At 37.1% G+C, this 18,282-nt stretch overlaps 1 protein-coding gene across 8 annotated transcripts in view; it reads right to left on the bottom strand.

The window, feature by feature from the left end:
• Window positions 1-18,282, bottom strand: part of KCNU1 (potassium calcium-activated channel subfamily U member 1) — a 151,752-nt gene that overhangs the window by 65,314 nt on the left and 68,156 nt on the right. For 7 of the 8 annotated variants that reach the window (NR_134267.2, NM_001031836.3, XM_011544426.3 and 4 more), the window contains one exon: window positions 6,291-6,408. Coding sequence is in view for 6 of the 8 variants with exons in the window: in NM_001031836.3 (NP_001027006.2) it covers window positions 6,291-6,408 (118 nt within the window). In the remaining 2 variants the exon portion in view is untranslated. Of the gene's footprint in view, window positions 1-813; window positions 927-1,836; window positions 1,952-6,290; window positions 6,409-18,282 lie in introns of those variants that run through there. The other variant, XR_001745486.3, reaches the window with a different exon arrangement.

Raw genomic sequence — 18,282 nt, 5'->3', positions numbered from 1 at the left:
ATCACTCAGTAGGCTTATATGAATGAAAGAACCAGAGAATGCTTTTGATTTACTAGTTATGGGCTACATTACACTCAAATAGGAAAGCCTATGCTTGTCTGGAGGGAAAGTAGTTTTAAAAGCTTAATATAAAATAAGAAGGGATAAAAGGAATTGCTCAGATAATCTCATCTGATCAGTTTCTGTAGAAAGCTCAGATATGACATGAAAAGAGCCATGTACGGTGATTTGTATCCGATCTTCTGCCCCCACTAGGTGGACTCAGAGGCTGGCTCTCAGTAGGAGTTCAGACATCATTGAGGCTAAAAGATGGGGATTCTCTTGCCTGAATAGTTTGGAACACAGAATTCGATAAAGTGTACAGAACTGAGAGTAAAAAGGGAGGAAGGGCTCAGCTTCTTTTCCTGAGACAACAGGGTATGTATGGCAGAGGGGGCATGAAAATAAGAGGTCATAGGGACAGGTGTCTCAGGAGTCATGCGTGAGCATAAATTATGTAGGGCTGGAAATAGATGTGCCAGAAAAGAAACAAACAACTTATCCCAGTTGGATTGAACCTCTTACATCTTTATGGCCAGTGCACTACTTACTAGCAAGCTTCCAGCTTGGCAAAGCCTATCCTGGCAGTCCTTCTGGATGGACTACAGTTTGGTTGGAAATGAAAGACTGCCATAGGATTACTGGAAGGCACTAGAAAATAGCCAAGGAAGGAGCTGGAATTGCCATGGAAAAGAATGTTCTGGAGGGAGAATGGCAAGCTATAGGCCGACTTGGACATGGCAAAGTGACCTTACCAATGGTAACTACTGCATCGTAGATCTTCACTGAAAACCCTGCTGGTATGCTTGTCAGGCTGGTGGTCTATAGATGGTGGTTGTAGACAGTGAATTAAATCTTGCGAGGTCTTGAACTCTGTAACCTCTCCACTAAAATGTGAAAGAAAGTGGTAGCAAAAACGTAGAAGTCTAAGAACCAGAGACATGACGGCAGAGGGTGACAGGAAATACAATGACAACAACAGCATGAAACATTTTTCACTTGCTGTATTTTCACTATGTATATTAGGCACTACATAAGAATTGAATCAGTCCTGTCTCAACCAATCCTCACAACATTTCAATTAGATTCTAATATCATCTCATTTTACAGATGAGAAAACTGAAGCTTATAAGCTAAGAAGATGGCGATCTGGAGCTCATGTCTGCCATAGGTGCTATTGCTCATGGCTAATATTTGTGGACCACTTATCCTTGAAAGAACTAAGGCTGACTTGGACATTGGCAAAGAGAGAAAAAAATAGCATTTACGGTCCCTGGTATCTGTAAAAGAACATAAAGAGGATGGAGATGAAGTTGATATTATAAATGTGATCTCATTCATAGATACCATTAAGACATGGTGAGAAAGGATGTTATATGGAAAAGTATTTAGATTTCAATATGGGCCATAAGTTGACTTAAGCAGACCCAATAGGGAGAATTTCCAGGGAAAGTGTGATAGGGCCAAACAAAACAAGCATTTCTATTAAAAACGTTTTCCTCTCCTGGCCCAGGTCTGTTATACAATGCTTGGAAATTTCTGCCTTGTTTCACCGATTAAATATCTTTCACTACTCACTTGAGATTATTCGCACCTACTTTTTAGAAAGCTGGATAATTTATTGTGGTTATGGTGTTATTAGTCACAACATCATACAAATCAGTTGTATCTAAAACTTTTCTTTCTAATATCTAATTAAAATCAGTTTTACTAAAGAAGAGAGTTTTGATAGAGAAGAAGCAGAGAATAGTAAATAATTGTGTAATAGGTAGAATGGGCAAAACTGTCGTAACTCACCCAAAGTGGAATGGCCAAGGTAAAGAAATTGGAAGCTAGGACCAGGGAGCTCCAGAAATGAATGAGATTCATTTTCACTTACTATAAAACACTGCACAGGTCTAACTTTATCTCCCTGAAAAGAAACAGGAAATACTTTCTTTCTCTTATATCATGTGATCCCTTGATTTAAGGACATAAAATTCAAGCAAATAGAGCTAATGTTTGTATACTTATTCATTCAACAAATATATATTTAACTACCATCTATTAAACAGTCTTTTGTGTGCTAGCCTGACAACATAACTGCTGTTTATAACATTGCTTATTCTATGGGAAGAGAAAGACATCAGGGATACCATAAAATATTGGATAATAACTTTTGTATAAGTTAGGGCTGTCTGTAATGCTTTAAGTACTAAGAATAGAAAATAGTAGTTTCTGAACTTACTGGAAAACCCACTGGTGGCCTGAAGATTACATCTTTAAAAATATCAAGTTCATTGTCAGCAAAACTATAAATAATAATATGTTGCTTTTGGTTTGTGAATATAAGACTATTAAGGCATAAAAAAAATGGATCACAAATAGCACATAGCACATACTTTACATTTTTTTTCCAAAAATGCCTACTAGTCTCTATTAAGCCATCCAGTTTATTTTACCACTCATTGTTGTTATGGCAAACATAGATCCTCTAGACATATGTTGCCAATTTGCTAGCTGGAACTCCCTTTGTCCTACAACATAAACACAAAACAAACACAAACTGTTTTCTATGGTACTAAGTGGGAGTACTCTATCACTGACCCATTAACACGGTACGTAAGTCACCTGAACTAACCAACTCTGTTGATGAAATATCACAGAGACTCACCCTCAAATGGAACATATTTGTTCAAGGATATACCACCATCTAAAAAACTCTGAAGCGTGGCTCTCGTTTATTTCTTTAAAGCTCTTTAATTCATGCAAACCTACCTTGATTTTGAATTAAGAAGTGCAAGGGAATTAATCATCAGCTTTAGCAATCATCTTCATGGGTTACTATCACAATCTCTGGTCTACTTGGGGTCAAAAGCATATTTAGGGATCCCCAACCAGAAATAGGGCTGACAGACTGGGTCTACAGATGAACCAGGTTGTCTGGATCCATTCTCCCTTTAGATGCCTGCTTTAAACCATTTTCTTGTTTATTACAGACGAGAATTAAAACCAATGGGAAAAATTCTGATATGTTAAATTATTTTTGTTTTTACAGCTGTGCTAAAGAATAGAAAGAAAAGCCAGTGAAACTGAATGGGTAAAATTACATTTGAGAATTTTCTGTGGCGTTTGATTATCTATGGCTCGCCAACCCTTTACCATCACAGAGAAGACGTGTGAGAGAATAAACAAAAGCACAAACATGATTGGAGCATTTTCTGTGTTATCACATATGTTGTCTTTATGTCTTCACAAACAATTTTCAAGTTTGAATCATGTTTTTATAACAACTTTGCATTAACATAAACATAGTGTACACACACATGCATGCATGCACAATACCAAAATCCAAGACTGTGTTCTTGATAAATTTGAGACTTTCCCACGGCACTCTACTGTGCATTCTCTCCTCTCGTCAGGCTGGCTAGCTGCTGCATGGAAAATGCCACATTCCCCCCAGGCTTTATCCATGTTACACTATTCACAGAAGTTGAGATTCCCACTGTCTCCCACCTTTCTAAATCCCACCCCCAACAGGAAGCTTTCTAGAACAATCTTTCCAGCTCTCATTGACCTCGTCTTCCCCTACCTTCTGCCAGAACCATCAATGTAGCACTTGACAGACTACCACTTTATTTGGCTTCTGATTGATTAACTGATTGGCTTTTATTATGTGTTTATTTTGAACTGCAAAAATTTTTTATTGTGAAAGTTTTCCAACTTCTTTCCCTTGTACTTTTTAGGAAAGAAAATTAACCTCTCTTTTCTGTATATTTGTACTGATGCATAATATTTGTACATATTTATGGGATACACGTGATATTTTGATATGTGTGTAGAATGTGTAATGATCAAGTCAGGGTATTTAGAATATCCATCACCTCACGGGTGAACCCTTTCTTTGCATTGGGAGCATTTTACATCTTCTCTTCTAGTAATTTTGAAATATGCTATATATTGTTATTAACTATAGTCACTTTACGGTGCTGCCAAAAACTATCACTTATTCTTTCTTTGGCCTCTGATTCATTTTATGTGAATCCATCTTGTTCACCCATCTAGACAGCATGGAAGTTGAAACATGATTTCTACATTTACAAAAGCATCAAGCATGGTGCCTACTTAGCACGTACAGGCTACTCAATAAATGCCTATTTACCAAGGATTTTTGGAGAAAAAGCATCTGCAGATTCCAGTGCTCATCTGTGACTGTTTTGTTGTTGGAAATAGCCAGGCAAAATTTGGGTCCCTGAAATGCCCCAAGACCTTTCCTTCAACTACTTCTCAGTGCTTTCCCATAGGCTATCTCATCCACTTTATAAAATCTGGGATTGGAAGGCAGGAAGGGCACAAACTGTAATTCCCGGACTTTTATATTGCTCTTAGAAAGTGCATAAAAGGAAGGGAAAATTGGTGGCTCAGATGTTTGACTCCAACCCCACCTTTGGGAGGGTACAGGAAAATTTCCATTAACCAGACCCAACAATCCAGAATCCTCAGGTAAACGGAAGAGGACTCTGTGTGTGTTAAAAGAAATAGGTAAATTGTATCAAAACCAAGTACAAGTAAAAGATTTATTGCAAAATCTACATCATTGGAAGGCTCTGCACTTATTACACTCTCAGCCCAATTCTAAATACCTTCCTCGCTATGAGAATTGATCATTGCAATAATAAGCAGCATTTAATGAGGACATACTAGCAGCCGGGAATCAAGCAAAGTGATTCCTTGGTACCTTTTGACCAACAGCTCCCCATTTCCCCCACCCACCACTTCTGAAAACCACCATTCCACTCTGTTCCTATGAGTTTGGCTATTTTAGAGTCCACATATAAGCGATATCGTGCAGTATTTCTTTTTCTGTGTCTGGCTTACTTCACTTAGCATAATGTGCATTAGGTTCATCCGTGTTGCTGCAAATGGAGGAATTTCCTTCTTTATTAGGAGTGAATAATATTCTGTGTGTGTGTATGACATTTCCTTTATCCATTCTTTTTTTTTTTTTTTTTTTTTTTTTGACAAGCTCTTGCTCTGTCACTCAGGCTGGAGTGCAGTGGTATGAACACAACTCACTGTAACCTCAAACTCCCGAGCTCAAACAATCTTCTCATCTCAATAGCCCAAGTAGCTAGGACTACAGTTGTGTGCCACCAGGCCTGGCTCATTTTTTTTTTTTTTTTAATTTTTGCAGAGACAGGGTCTTTCTATATTGCCCCAGGCTGGTCTTAAACTCCTGGGCTCAAACAATCCTCCCAGCTCAGCCTCCTAAAGCACTGGGATTATAGGCATGAGCTGCTATGCCCAGCCCTATCCCATTCATTTTCTGAATAACACTTAGGTTGTTTCTGTATCTTGGCTATTGCGAATACTGCTGCAATGAACATGGGAGTACAGAATTGTCTTTGAAATACTGATTTTGTTTTCTTTGAATAAATGCCCAGAAGTAGGATTGCTGGATCATATAGTAGTTTTATTCTTAATTTTTTGAAGAACTTGCATATTGTTTTCCATACTGGCTGCAGCAGCAAAGTGCTTTAAATACCTAATCTCATTTAATCACTATTAAAAACGTACAAAATATTTATAACATTATGTAATGCCACAGTATAACGACTCTTTGATAATATATTTACCCTTAGATAATCACAGTTTTTAATCATCAAAGATCTTCCTGGTATATTATCCCTAATAAACTGAAATGTTGTCAAGATATTACAGAGTCATTTTCATTAAAGTTTGGAATAATAGAACTTTTGAATTGCCCCTCTAATTAAAATCAACTAAGCAGGTCATCCTCCTCCAACTCTTCTTTCTGGTTAGTGGAGGTTTTAGTGTACTAAAAGGCTGCAAGGAAAAGGGCAGGGAGGAGGGATTTGTTGCCCATATTTTGCAGATGCAAAAACTAAGACAATCACATCTTGAATGTATTGGAAATAGGGGATTGATTAACAACAGAAAAGCTATTTGGAGCTGCTAAAATTTGGCTCTAACTTACATTTCTAAAGTGCCTGAAAGGTGGTGTGAAAGAAAGTTGGGTATCTAACTTTTGGGTTATTATGGGTACAGATGATTTGAGCAATGGAAGAAAGAGGTGTATTTGATTAGCTTAATGATATGGGCAAGGTGGAGATGATCTCATTTTGGGGAGGAACAATTCCATTGGTCAGTATAGGAGTTTATAAAGCAAATATTCTGGTTTAAATACAATATATATGGCCCACTGATTCTCAAAAAAACTATAGGAGACCAGGGTTCTCTGCAGCTTTTACCTGGTGGTGAAGTTTGATATGCTCGAAGTGCTTGCAGATACCCTTGGCGGAGAATCCTGCCCTGATATACGAGAGGAGATTCCCTTCAGACATTTTTTCATTCTCTTTACCGATGGCACTGCAATAGGATAGAAATCTCAGTGAGTTGGCACATCTCTTCACAAGGGATTGTTGGAATATTCCCCTTGGCTGAGCCATTTATAGACCCTTGACTAGGGAAAGGCTGGGGAGTCTCAGCTACAGCCTAGTTCTAAGAGGATGAATTGTAGCAAACTCTTTGCTTTCCTTCTACAGAATTAGGGAGTGAGAGAGAATTTCAGTTCCATATGGTGTGTTTAAAATAAGTACCTACTCAATAGCTGCTGCACCTTTCTAATCCATCACCCCTCCCATTTCACCCAAGTGCATTTGCTACAGCATGTCTAGAGGCACCTTAGGACGCTAAGAAAGCATCACTCTACAAAAATCCTGTCTCCTTCCTGCAGATGCTGCCCAGGCTTGCAATTCATTCTGCCTGGACATCACCTCCTTTTGCTTTATGTTTTCTTTGAGGCTTTCTTTATTATTAATTTTGACTTTTGAAGAATCTCGATCTTACAGTAAATGCATATCAAAACTTTTGTGTATTTCCAAATCTGGAAATAACACAAAAAGAAATCATTTTCTCTCCTTCAGTATGGGGATACTACCATGACTTTGAAGGGTGATTATAAGGATACATGCAAGAATGCTGAAATTAATAGATTCAATGAGCACCATGAAGCCACTTTAATAGGGAAAAATGTGACAGGTGAGCCATTACTTCTTCCTGAACCCATATGTTGATATACAATCATGCAGTTCTTATCCTGGAACCCAGATTCAACCCAAGAATCATTTCCAACCCTCTGGGCTAGGTAGGCATTGTCACACAATAAGAATTTGCACTTGCTGTTGTGATTTTTAAAAAACATATTCTAAACAATGCTTTGCAAATTAAATGCTTCTCTTCAATTTTCAAAGAGCCTGTGTGATCCGCTTGCCAGAACCTGATTGCTTGGTGATCAGAGATGGAGAGATTGTCTGAGCAGAAGTTCCTAAGGAGGTGGACTACATCAAGGGGCAGTCATCACTGATACTCCTCTTCCCCTGCCCACCCAAGTGGAGAAAGGAGACATGACCTTTTCCTACTGTCTCAACATAAGCATTATTTCTGTGCTTGGACTAGCCACAGTGGGGAGTTCACGTGGGACAAGCCCTTAATCCCACTTATCACCTCATTTTGATCAGTGGCAGACAGAAAAAGCCATGAAAATGTCTTGGTATCCCTCTTTCTTTTGATGTAATTATTTTCTGAACCATTCTAATCCATAAAAACATCAACTAAGTCAAAACACACTTCTGGAAGAAGAAGGACATCCTTTGGATATGTGATTTCTCAACTTAAATTGGCAGTGATTGCATCAGCCAGGTGTGCTAAGAGATGGGTTTGGAATTAAGTTTACCCTACCTGTAATCCTCAGAAGCCTTCACTTGACTGATGCTTCCTTATTTCAAGGTTACATTTTGCCCTGGGGGGAATGGCTCGGGAAGGGAACACCCGAAGTAAAATCTGAGCAAGGACTAGCTGTGTTACCAACTGTCAGTCTCTAAAGGCTGGCTGGTTGTGATGGAAACTGGGTTATGGAATGTCTAAGACAACATGCCCGAACTAGCCTAGGAATTATAGAACTTTTAGGACGTCTCTCCTTTTCTCAAAGCCTAACTCTCCAGCCAATAACATGTGTCAGCTGTTAAAAAAATGAGGGTTGGGGGAAGGATAAGTGGGAGGGGTGAGTGCTTTCTGTGAAACTCTCAAAATCTTTGCTAAAGCTTTGAATTTTTCCTTGAATCATTCTTAAAACCTCATCTGAAAACACATTAATGACTTTTATAATTTTGAAAGCTTTCATAATTATGGAAGAAGGTGCATGTGTGTGGGGTGGACAGAACAGCTTGTATGGGGATTGCTGATGTTTCTGATTGGTGTTGACCACCTGAAGGTCAAGGACAAACTGGCCCAAGTTATGTCTTCTGATTCCTTCCAGGTCTAAATTCTATAATTCTAATGGCATTCAAAAAGGAAATTGAAAATTGTTTATTTACCAGGTTGCAAGATAAGGCAGACAAAGAAGTTGCAACAGTTTATCCCCAGTTTCAATATTGCTTCAAATATTTGAGGAAAAAATTTAAGAAAAAAATAAGACAAAGTCCCTTCCTCAAGGCAGTAGATAAGCAATGAAGTTTCTCTGATCTCATTCTGTTTGATCATTTTATTTATATTTTTTCTATCTATCTATTATCTATCTATCTATCTACCTACCTACCTACCTATAGCTAACTATTTTAAATCTATTTTAGGCGAGGAAAGTTGAAATGGATTTTTCCTAACACTTTAGCTAGACTGTTAATGTCTTGTCATGACTTACCATGAGTTCCCTATGGATACCTTACAGATTTCTAGATAAAGCACTGGATACCAAAAAACAAACAAACAAACAAACAAACAAACAAAGAAAACCATGGGATCTGAGACCTGTAAATGACTAGAAAAAATGAAAGTCCTTCTAAATACATGGCCAACATTTTGGTTACCTTTCTCTTTCAAAAAGCAATTCCCTTGAAAGCAACAAGCAAATCTTTCCTTTTCTGGAATACGTGATAGGACTTCATTTTAAGAAATGCCTCATATGTGATTTCCATATGGATAGCAATAATTCCACTTATTTATATCTCCCTCAAGAAGTTTTATCATTGTTCAAATGAGTGAAAATAATGCCTATATTATTCAGATTATCCCGAATCTTCTCCAATTTACTAAATAGCTAAATTGTTGCAATTATTTATAAAATATAGTACTTTACCACTCATTGTGACATTCCTAAAAAGTGATATTACATATTCTAGATAAAAACCACTAGTTTTAGAAGCCGAAAAAGCAACAGGGCAACAGAGCAAGCTCATGCCTTAGTCTTGCAGAAGTGGGGTAACAGTCGCCTATCTATTCCTTATTTATTTATGTATCCATTCATGATCAGAATGCCATAAAAATTGTTATAGCTAAGAAAAACATCATGGATTGGCATGAAAGGAGACCAGAGCCAGGGAGACCAAGTAGAAAGCTATTGTAGTCACTAGGATGAGAAAGAAGGCCTCAACTGGGGCAGAATTAATGCTAACGATTGGAAATCATGGAAAGCCACACTCAACTGTACCATTAGAAGAATAATTGCAAGTGACACAAATATAGGAGTGCAATATATCTGTGCAGGGTCTTTACAGACTTGTTACCAAGTTGCTTTTCTTTTTATTGAAATTTGGTGGACATGTGGTCCTGAACTCTTAGAGAAGAAAGTATGCAGAAACCATCTCCTATTCTTTCTCCTACCTAACCTAAGACCAGGGGACTTCTGACTGTTCTTCATTGCTGTTAAATAAGCTAAGCTGGGAAGATGAGCTGGTAGATTCATTAGGGTAGGTAAATCTCTACCTTATGTGTTTAGAGTTCTCCTCCCTAGGAAACGTTGGCTGGGGTCATTCCTCCTTAAAAAGGTCAATTAATAGTCTGGAATGTTTATAAAAAAAAAAAAAAGTGACCCAGGGCCAAACCTAAAGAAAACTGTAAAGTAAAATAAATCCATATTTGGACCACCTACTCAACTCATTTCTTGTCATTTTTTTTCCTGTCCCTAACTGTTTTTGCACCCTCTTTCCAATTTCCTTTTCAGAATTCTGCTTTCCATTAGATTTGACTGTATTGCAGAATATTAGCATTTTAATGCAGACTCTAAAACAGTTCTCAAGGGATGGGGATTAGGGGAATTTGGGCACAACTTTCCTAAGGGCTATTTTCATATTGCCCATTCCCTCTACTCTATCACATGTAAAGATTCTTATGCACCCCTCCTTGCCCTGGTTGAATACTACTATTCTTAAATCCTAGGTGTTAGAAACTGCAATGAAGAAATAGCAGGTAGTGAACTGTAGAGTTGAGGCTGAGAAACTTCATGCCCAAAAACTTATCTAATTCCATTAAGAAGAAGGTCAGAAAGACAATTATTCCTCCTACTCTGAAGGCTTAGCCCTACTGGTGTTTATGCTGTGAACCCAAAAATCATCAGGGGATGGGCCAGGCGCAGTGTCTCACACCTGTAATCCCAGCATTTTGGGAGGCTGAGGTGGGTGGATCAAGAGGTCAGGAGATTGAGACCATCCTGGCTAACATGGTGAAAACCTGTCTCTACTAAAAATACAAAAAATTAGCTGGGCATGGTGGCGGGTACCTGTAGTCCCAGCTACTCAGGAGGCTGAGGCAGGAGAATCACTTGAACCTCGAAGGCGGAGACTGCAGTGAGCTGAGATCGCACCACTGCACTCCAGCCTGGGCAACAGAGAGAGACTCCATCTCAAATTTAAAAAAAATCAGGTAATGGGTTAAAATAAGTATAATCTACTAGGAATTCTCTTTCAATTATTATTTTATCTGTATTTCATTGATCAAAAAAAATAAAAAGATTCCTTTTGAGTTTGTGCTCCCATGGGTGGCATAATAATTATCATATATGCAGAACTTACTATTGGCCAGCCACTAGGCTTAATGCTTTTTATATTAATATAACCAATTTATATATTCTTTATGTACTGATATTCTCATTTAACCTTCTGAGATATGCAATGTTATTGTCAACATTTCAAAAAACTCTGAAGCACCTTGAAAATTTCAATAATTTGCCTAAAGTCACACAGTTAGTAAATGGCCAATCCAGAATTCATGTTCTTAACCAGCACTCTATGTTTCCTCTGTAAAATATTTGATTATGAATTTAATTGGAGAACCTCTAGTGTGGTTCTAGTTTGGAAAAATGGAAGTAATCAAAAAAAGAGGGATTCAGAATTATAGAGCACCAGAGTTGAAAAGGGCCATAGACACTGAGAATTCCCCTCTTTGGAGATGATTACACTGAGAACCCAAAAGCTAACATGTTTTTCGCCAACCACAGTAATCAGTGGAATAGCTGTGATCACAACTCAAGTCTTCTGGGTTCTCATTGAGTATAGTAGCGGGGAGAAAGTAGTGGGACCAAGGAAATTTAATGAATTCATTAAAGAGATAACTGTTTGAAGGGAGTGGACTGAGGATATTCTTAACTGGCTCTAAACCCATAAAATATTCAACCTGATAATTGTACTAATTCAGTCAGTGTAAGGTTTCTATGTTGTCATTTATTGATAAGTTCCTAAGCCCTTTTTGAAAGTTAATTCTCTAAGAGAATGCCCATATGTTATCATGACATTTAAAACTATGTGGTCAAGCAGCCTCTTTCTAAAATAATGTTCTCTTTTGGCACATTTTAGTTAGAACCAGGATCTCCAGATTCAAATTGACACACCAAGCCATTGACCTGTGAGCATTTCATGGTACTCTGCTGCCATCATCTGGCAAATTGAAGTCAGTAACAGTTGATCATTTGCTGCTTGTTGCTTTAGAATCTCAGTACCAGATTAATAGAGTTCCAGCTGGAGTGGAATAGACTTGGTAATACTGGTGATTGGGGATCAGTATAGGGTAGGAAAAAGAAATTATTCTATTTTAAGAGTAATGAAAGATTCTGGAGAGTATGATGACTACATTGAAGCTAAGAAACTAGATTGAAAATTGAAAGTCTCATTAACTTATCCCTAGATATCATAAAATACATGTCATAGAAGTGGGTAAAATTTGGCATGTCTACAAACATAAAGGCAGAATCCTCCTTTTTATACAGAAATATTTTAGCATTTATACTAGAGCAACTTCCTGTTTTAAAATATTTATAGTAAAGTCATAAAAGTCAGCTAAAAAGGGATGATTATTTATCTTTATAAAACATTTTTGTTTGCAGAATGACAGAAGCATATGCATGTGTGTGCTTGTATGTGTAATTTCTTTTCAGAAAGTTTGGTTTGTACACTGTGTTTAAAGGCCTATATATACTGCATGAAACTATACTAAATTTACATACAATAGGATGACATGTATAGTGAGATTATACTTTTTAGTATATTATCTTGTTCTTTTATATGGGCCCTTCCTCTAATGGGACTTTCTTCCTATTTAGTCAGACTCATCCATTGCTTCAAAAAAGATTCACATTTTTACTGAATGTAAGGAGTCCATGTTTAAATTTCCAGTCCCAAAATAAAGTCTTGAAGACATTTTAAAAAAAAATAATCTTCAGATTCAGGCATTCAGTTGAATTACCCTGTAGAAATAGGGATTTCAGTATGTAGATAACAGGGATTTCAGGAAATTACATACGAACAGTTTTTTTTTTTTTTTTTTTTTTTGCCATCCTTGAAATTGTCTTAGACTTTCAAGGGGAAGTACAAAGATTCACAGAAGATAATGTTAAGACAGAGCCTTTAGTTTTGGGTGTGGAATAGCAGCAGCAGAAGCTTCATAAACTGGCTCCTCAGTGAAACAGCCCTAACTAGTGAAATTATCAAAACATAAACAAACACACATTGAAAATCTCTAGAAATTGTTCTGTGAACATATAGCAAATGAAGAAAACTTGTGGCTGGGTGCAGTGGCTCACGCCTGTAATCCCAGCACTTTGGGAGGCTGAGGCGGGTAGCTCACCTGAGGTCAGGAGTTCAAGAGCAGCCTGGCCAACCTGGTGAAACCCCATCCGTACTAAAAATACAAAAATTAGCTGCATGTGGTGGCAAGCGCCTGTAATCCCAGCTACTCAAGAGGCTGAGGCAGGAGAATCACTTTAACCCGGGAGGTGGAGCTTGCAATGAGCCAAGATCAAGCCATTCCACTCCAGCCTGTGGAACAGAGCAAGACTCCTTCTCAACAACAACAACAAAAACAAAAACAAAAAAACAAAAAACAAACAACAAACAAACAAAAAACAAAACAAAACAAAGAAAACTTGTATTCAATAAAATATACTAAATCTTAGTAAGGGCAGAAAGAATCTTTGGCACTTGAACCACAGACTGCTTCCTTTCCTCCAAACCCAGTTGGGTGTGATAAAAGCTTCATTCTGGACAGGTGTGCTCAAGAATGCAGGGCTCCCCCTCCCTCCAGCTCCCAGTCAAATGCTGTGCTATGTCCCTGTGAGGGACACAGCCTCAGTATTTCTCATCCCCTTCCCACTCTGTGTTGCAGAAACTAAGTTTCAGGTGAGTGTAGCCTAGAGGATAGAGACTGTCTTACTCTTCACAGCTCTCATTTATAGGTGAGGCTCTGTTTAGGTATCACAGGATGAAAACAATGAAGCATTAATCTCCCTGACTCCAGCTCACCCCCAAGGCAGAGGTTTCACAGTGGGAGAAGCAAACAAAGAAAGCCAGAGGCTACCACCAGTGCTAGTGTCCTACTCATAAAACAGGTGTGTCACTTCAACAGAGGAGGTCTTCTTTTCCAACACCACCCACCATCCTGCAAGCTCGGGAGCAATGGCTCAGAGATTTTGCCCAGGAGGAGAGGCAGGCCATAAGAACAAAGAGCTCTGAAGCTCCGCCCAAAGGAATTGATTTTACTTGGAACAGAGTATCAAGAATTTCAAGCCCAAGGGTGCTTTTTGACAACAGTGATTTTGGTGGTAAACAATTAATTAGAGGCTAGTAACTCCATGAGAACAAGATAAACCATAAGTCAGAATTTACCATAGTGAACCAGAAAAAGTACAGTTAATAACCGTTCTCTTAGGGACAGAACAAACTGCAAAGACTGGTCTTAGAAACCACTCTTACAAAGGGGCCCAAATTTAATTGCGTAATACTGTGGAGCAATAGATAACTCAGGCATAATAAAAAACAATAATAGGCAGCCTGCTAGTGTAGTCTAGGAACTGGGTGTGATACTAACAGAAGCGGAGAGCTTACCATAGAGATCAGGGAAAGAGACCATTAAAATGAGCCCTGCTAAAACCACTATAAGCCCAATGGTTGTTAACCACTGTAGTCCAAGGCTGCACTCTCCAATGAGCAACATCAAAAGCTTCAAACTTAGGGGAAATTTATTTTATAAAACAGTTCAGCCAAGTCACTAGCCAACTAACTAAACAACCAGTGACAACAACAAGCCTTGGTTTTCAGAGCTGCTATAATTATCTACAATATCCATTTTCAACACAAAATATGAGACATGCAAAGTAACAGGAAAGCATGAGACATGAAAATTAACAGGAAAGCATGAGCTATACACAGGGTGGGGAAAGCAGGCAAAAGAAACTTTCTGTGCAAGAGTCCATGTCAGAGTTAGCAGAAAAAATATTAAGAGCCAATATTCTAAATATGTTGAAAGAAATGAAGGAAATCCTGATTAAAGAAATAAAAGCATGATGACAATATCTCCCTAAAGAAACATTATCCATAAACAAATACAAATTTTAAGAAGAACAAAATAGAAGCTTTATAGTTGAAAAGTACATTAACTGATGTTAATTATTCACTAGAGGGGTTAATAAATTGGAGACTGTCTCCCCAAATATTAATATGTGTCTACCCAGAACCTCAAAATGTGACTGTTGTGGACTAAATTGTGCCCTACATCACAAAAAATCTTGAAACCAGCACGAGAAAAATGTGGTTTACATGTGAAACAGCTGACTTCTTATCAGAAAAAATGGAGGTTAGAAGGCAATAAGATGTCATTGAAAAGTGCTGAAATAAACTGCCAACCAAGAATTTTATACCCAGGAAAACTATCTTTAAAAAATGAAGACAAGATACCAGAAAAAAAATAAAATAAAAGGTAGAGGAAGGACACGAGATAGGCCGCCCCTCCATAAAAATAGAATAAACTGGCAAAACTTGTGAGAATTATTTTTTTTTCAGAACTCTGGAAACTAACCAACAGGAGCCTTGAAAACATTTAGTCGAGAGAAATAAATAGATAGCAGTAAGAGATATAAGATTTGTGTTATTTTAATTTACACTAGTTTCATCTCCAGCTCCACAGCTCATCGATAGCTTTCAAAACATAATACTCCATATTCTTGGCACTAGAGGGAGTACAGCAGAAATACAGTTCTTCAAAAGCCTTATTTCCAAAGAAGAGTCATTATTTTGACTTGTCTGGTGGTTCCCTGCATAACCCTACTTGAATGGCTTTTCTTTTTCAGCCTCATTTGCATGTATCTAGTGCTACAAGCCTATCCCCAGGGAGTGTTATCAAATATATTAACGTCACATGTGCCTGAGGCAACAGATAGCAGGGCAAATTGAAGACCAAATGAAAGCATAAAAGGAAAACTGAAGAATAAAATGTCTTCTTACTTATAAGGGACTTTGAAAAACTCTGGAATATTACTGGAAATCTAAATGACAATGAAGATGCCCAGAACTGTGTAAAGCTGTATGCATAAGCAGAAAGGCCTGAGAAGTTCCAAAGCTCTCATCTCTAACTGACCTTGAGGTTTCATACAAGCAGAAAATGAAGGCTAAACACAGTTGTCAACTTTACAGCTGACTATTGAAGGCATGCCCCAACACAAACACAGAATCCTTTGACAAAGACTGAGAAACTTCTTGGTTCCAGGTGTTTAACAAAAATCATTGTCCAATTATAAGCTTACCACTAAGTTGAGTAGAAAATTCAATGGCCACAAATGACAGAGAGATAGACTTTGGGAAAGTCTACTGGAGAATCTGATTTCCATAAATAACACACTATAACCTGTGTAATGTCTAATTTTCAACAAAAAGTTATAAGACTTGGAAAGAAACAAGCAAGATAAAAATACATAGGAAAAAGGCTCTCAATAGACACCATCCTTGAGAGAAGCTCAGATATTGTACTTACTAGTCAAAGACTTTTAAAATCAGCTAATTTAAATATATTTGAAGAGCTTTAAAAACCTATATATAAATAACCAAAAGGAATATGAGAATGATGTCTCACAAAATAGAGAATGTCATTAAATAGTTACAAATTTTTTTAAGTAGAAATCTTGGAGTTCAAAGTACAAGAACTAAAATAAAAACTTTACAAGAGGAACTAAAGATCAGACTTGAGCATGCAAAAAAAAAAAAAAGAATCAGCATACTCAAAGATAGGTGAATGAAGATTATACAGTTTGAGGGACAGAAGAAAAAAGGAATTAAGAAAAATGAAGACAGCCTAAGGGACCGCTGGGACATTATCAAGTGTACCAAAGGATTTAATGAAAGATCCAGGAGAAGAGTAAAGAAAGGAGTAGAGTGAATATTTGAGAAATAATGGCCAATAACTTCTCAAAGTGGTTGAAAAACATTAATCTACACAACTAAAAAGCTTAATAAACTCCTAGTAGGATAAATTTAAAGAGATTGACACATGGAGACCTGTCATAATCAAAAATGTAAGACTCAAAGACAGAGGGTCTTCAAGTCAGCAAGACAGAAGTGACTCATCGTGTAGAAAGGATGACCAATCAAATTGAAAGCTATTTCTAATCTGAAACAATAGAGGCCAGAAAGAAGTAGGATGAAATATTTAAAGCGCTGAATGAGAAACAACTGCCAACAAAGAATTTAATAGTTAGCAAAACTATCCTCCAAAAATAAATGATAAATTAAGACATTTTTAAGATTAACAAGAACTTAGATCTTGTTCACATATGACAAACCCTACAATAAATACTAACGGGATTCCTTGAGTTTGAAATACAAGCACATTAGGCAGTAATTCAAATCCACAGGAAGAAATAAAAATCACACACACACACACCAACCTATACTTAACCGACCCTATAAACCAACTATACTTAACAGACATCCATATAACATTCCATCTAACAACAGAATAATACATGATCTTCCCAAGTATACATTGAATAGTCTCCAGGATAGACCATGTATTAGACAATGGAGCAAGTCTTAAAATACTATAAGAATTTGTCATACAAAGTATGCTTTCCAACTTCAATGGAATTAAATAAGAATACAATAAAAGAGAAAATTAGGAAAATTCACAAATATGTGAAAGTAAAAACAACACATTTCTTAACAATGGGTCAAAAACATACAAAAAAGAAAACAGAAAACACAGGGAAATTATAAAGTATTTTAAATTAATGAAAATAAAAACATAACACATTAAAAATACACCATGCTTCTAAAGGTGCTTAGAGGGAAATTTTTAGATATAAATGCCTACTTATTTATTTATTTATTTTTTGAGAGAAGTCTTGCTCTGTCAACCAGCTTGGAATGCAGTAGCATGATCTTGGCTCACTGCAGCCTCTGTCTCCCAGGTTCAAGTGACTCTCCTGCCTCAGCCTCCCGAGTAGCCGGGACTACAAGCATGTGCCACCACACCTGGCTGATTTTTGTATTTGTAGTAGAGATGGAGTTTTGCCATGTGGACCAGTCTGGTCTCGAACTCCTGATCTCAGGTGATACGCCAACCTCAGCCTCCCATAATGCTGGCATTACAGGTGTGAGCCACCGCACCTGGCAGCCTAGTTTTTTTTCCTTTTTTAAAGAAAGGAGAAATCTGAAATCAGTTACTTCACTTAATGTTTCACCTTAGGTGATACTGAACAAAGGAAGGCAAGTTAACCCAAATCTAAAAGAAAGGAGGAAATAATAAAAATTAGAATGAAAATAAATCAATTGTAGAATAGAAAAAATTAGAAAAAAATCCATTAAGAAAGTTGTTCTTTTTGAAAAGATCAACAAAATAGATAAACATTGTAGCAAGTTTAGCTGCAAAAAAGAAAGAACACTCATGTTACCAAAATAAAAAATGAAAGACAGATTAGTACTACTGGTCTGAAAAAATAAAAGAAATATAAAGCAATACTTATGCATATCATATGTACACATAAGTATACAACATGTATACTTATATGATCAGATGTATACTCATACGATTAGATGTATATAAATCAATAAATTTGATAATGTGGATTAAATGAACAAATTGGTAGAAAGATGAAACTACCAAAACTGTCTTAGGAAGAAGTAGAAAACCTGAAAAACTTATAACTTGTAA

The sequence above is a fragment of the Homo sapiens genome, chromosome 8 (genome assembly GCF_000001405.40).
Source record: "Homo sapiens chromosome 8, GRCh38.p14 Primary Assembly".
Lineage (NCBI taxonomy): Eukaryota > Metazoa > Chordata > Mammalia > Primates > Hominidae > Homo > Homo sapiens.
This window is presented reverse-complemented; position numbering and strand designations above follow the sequence as displayed.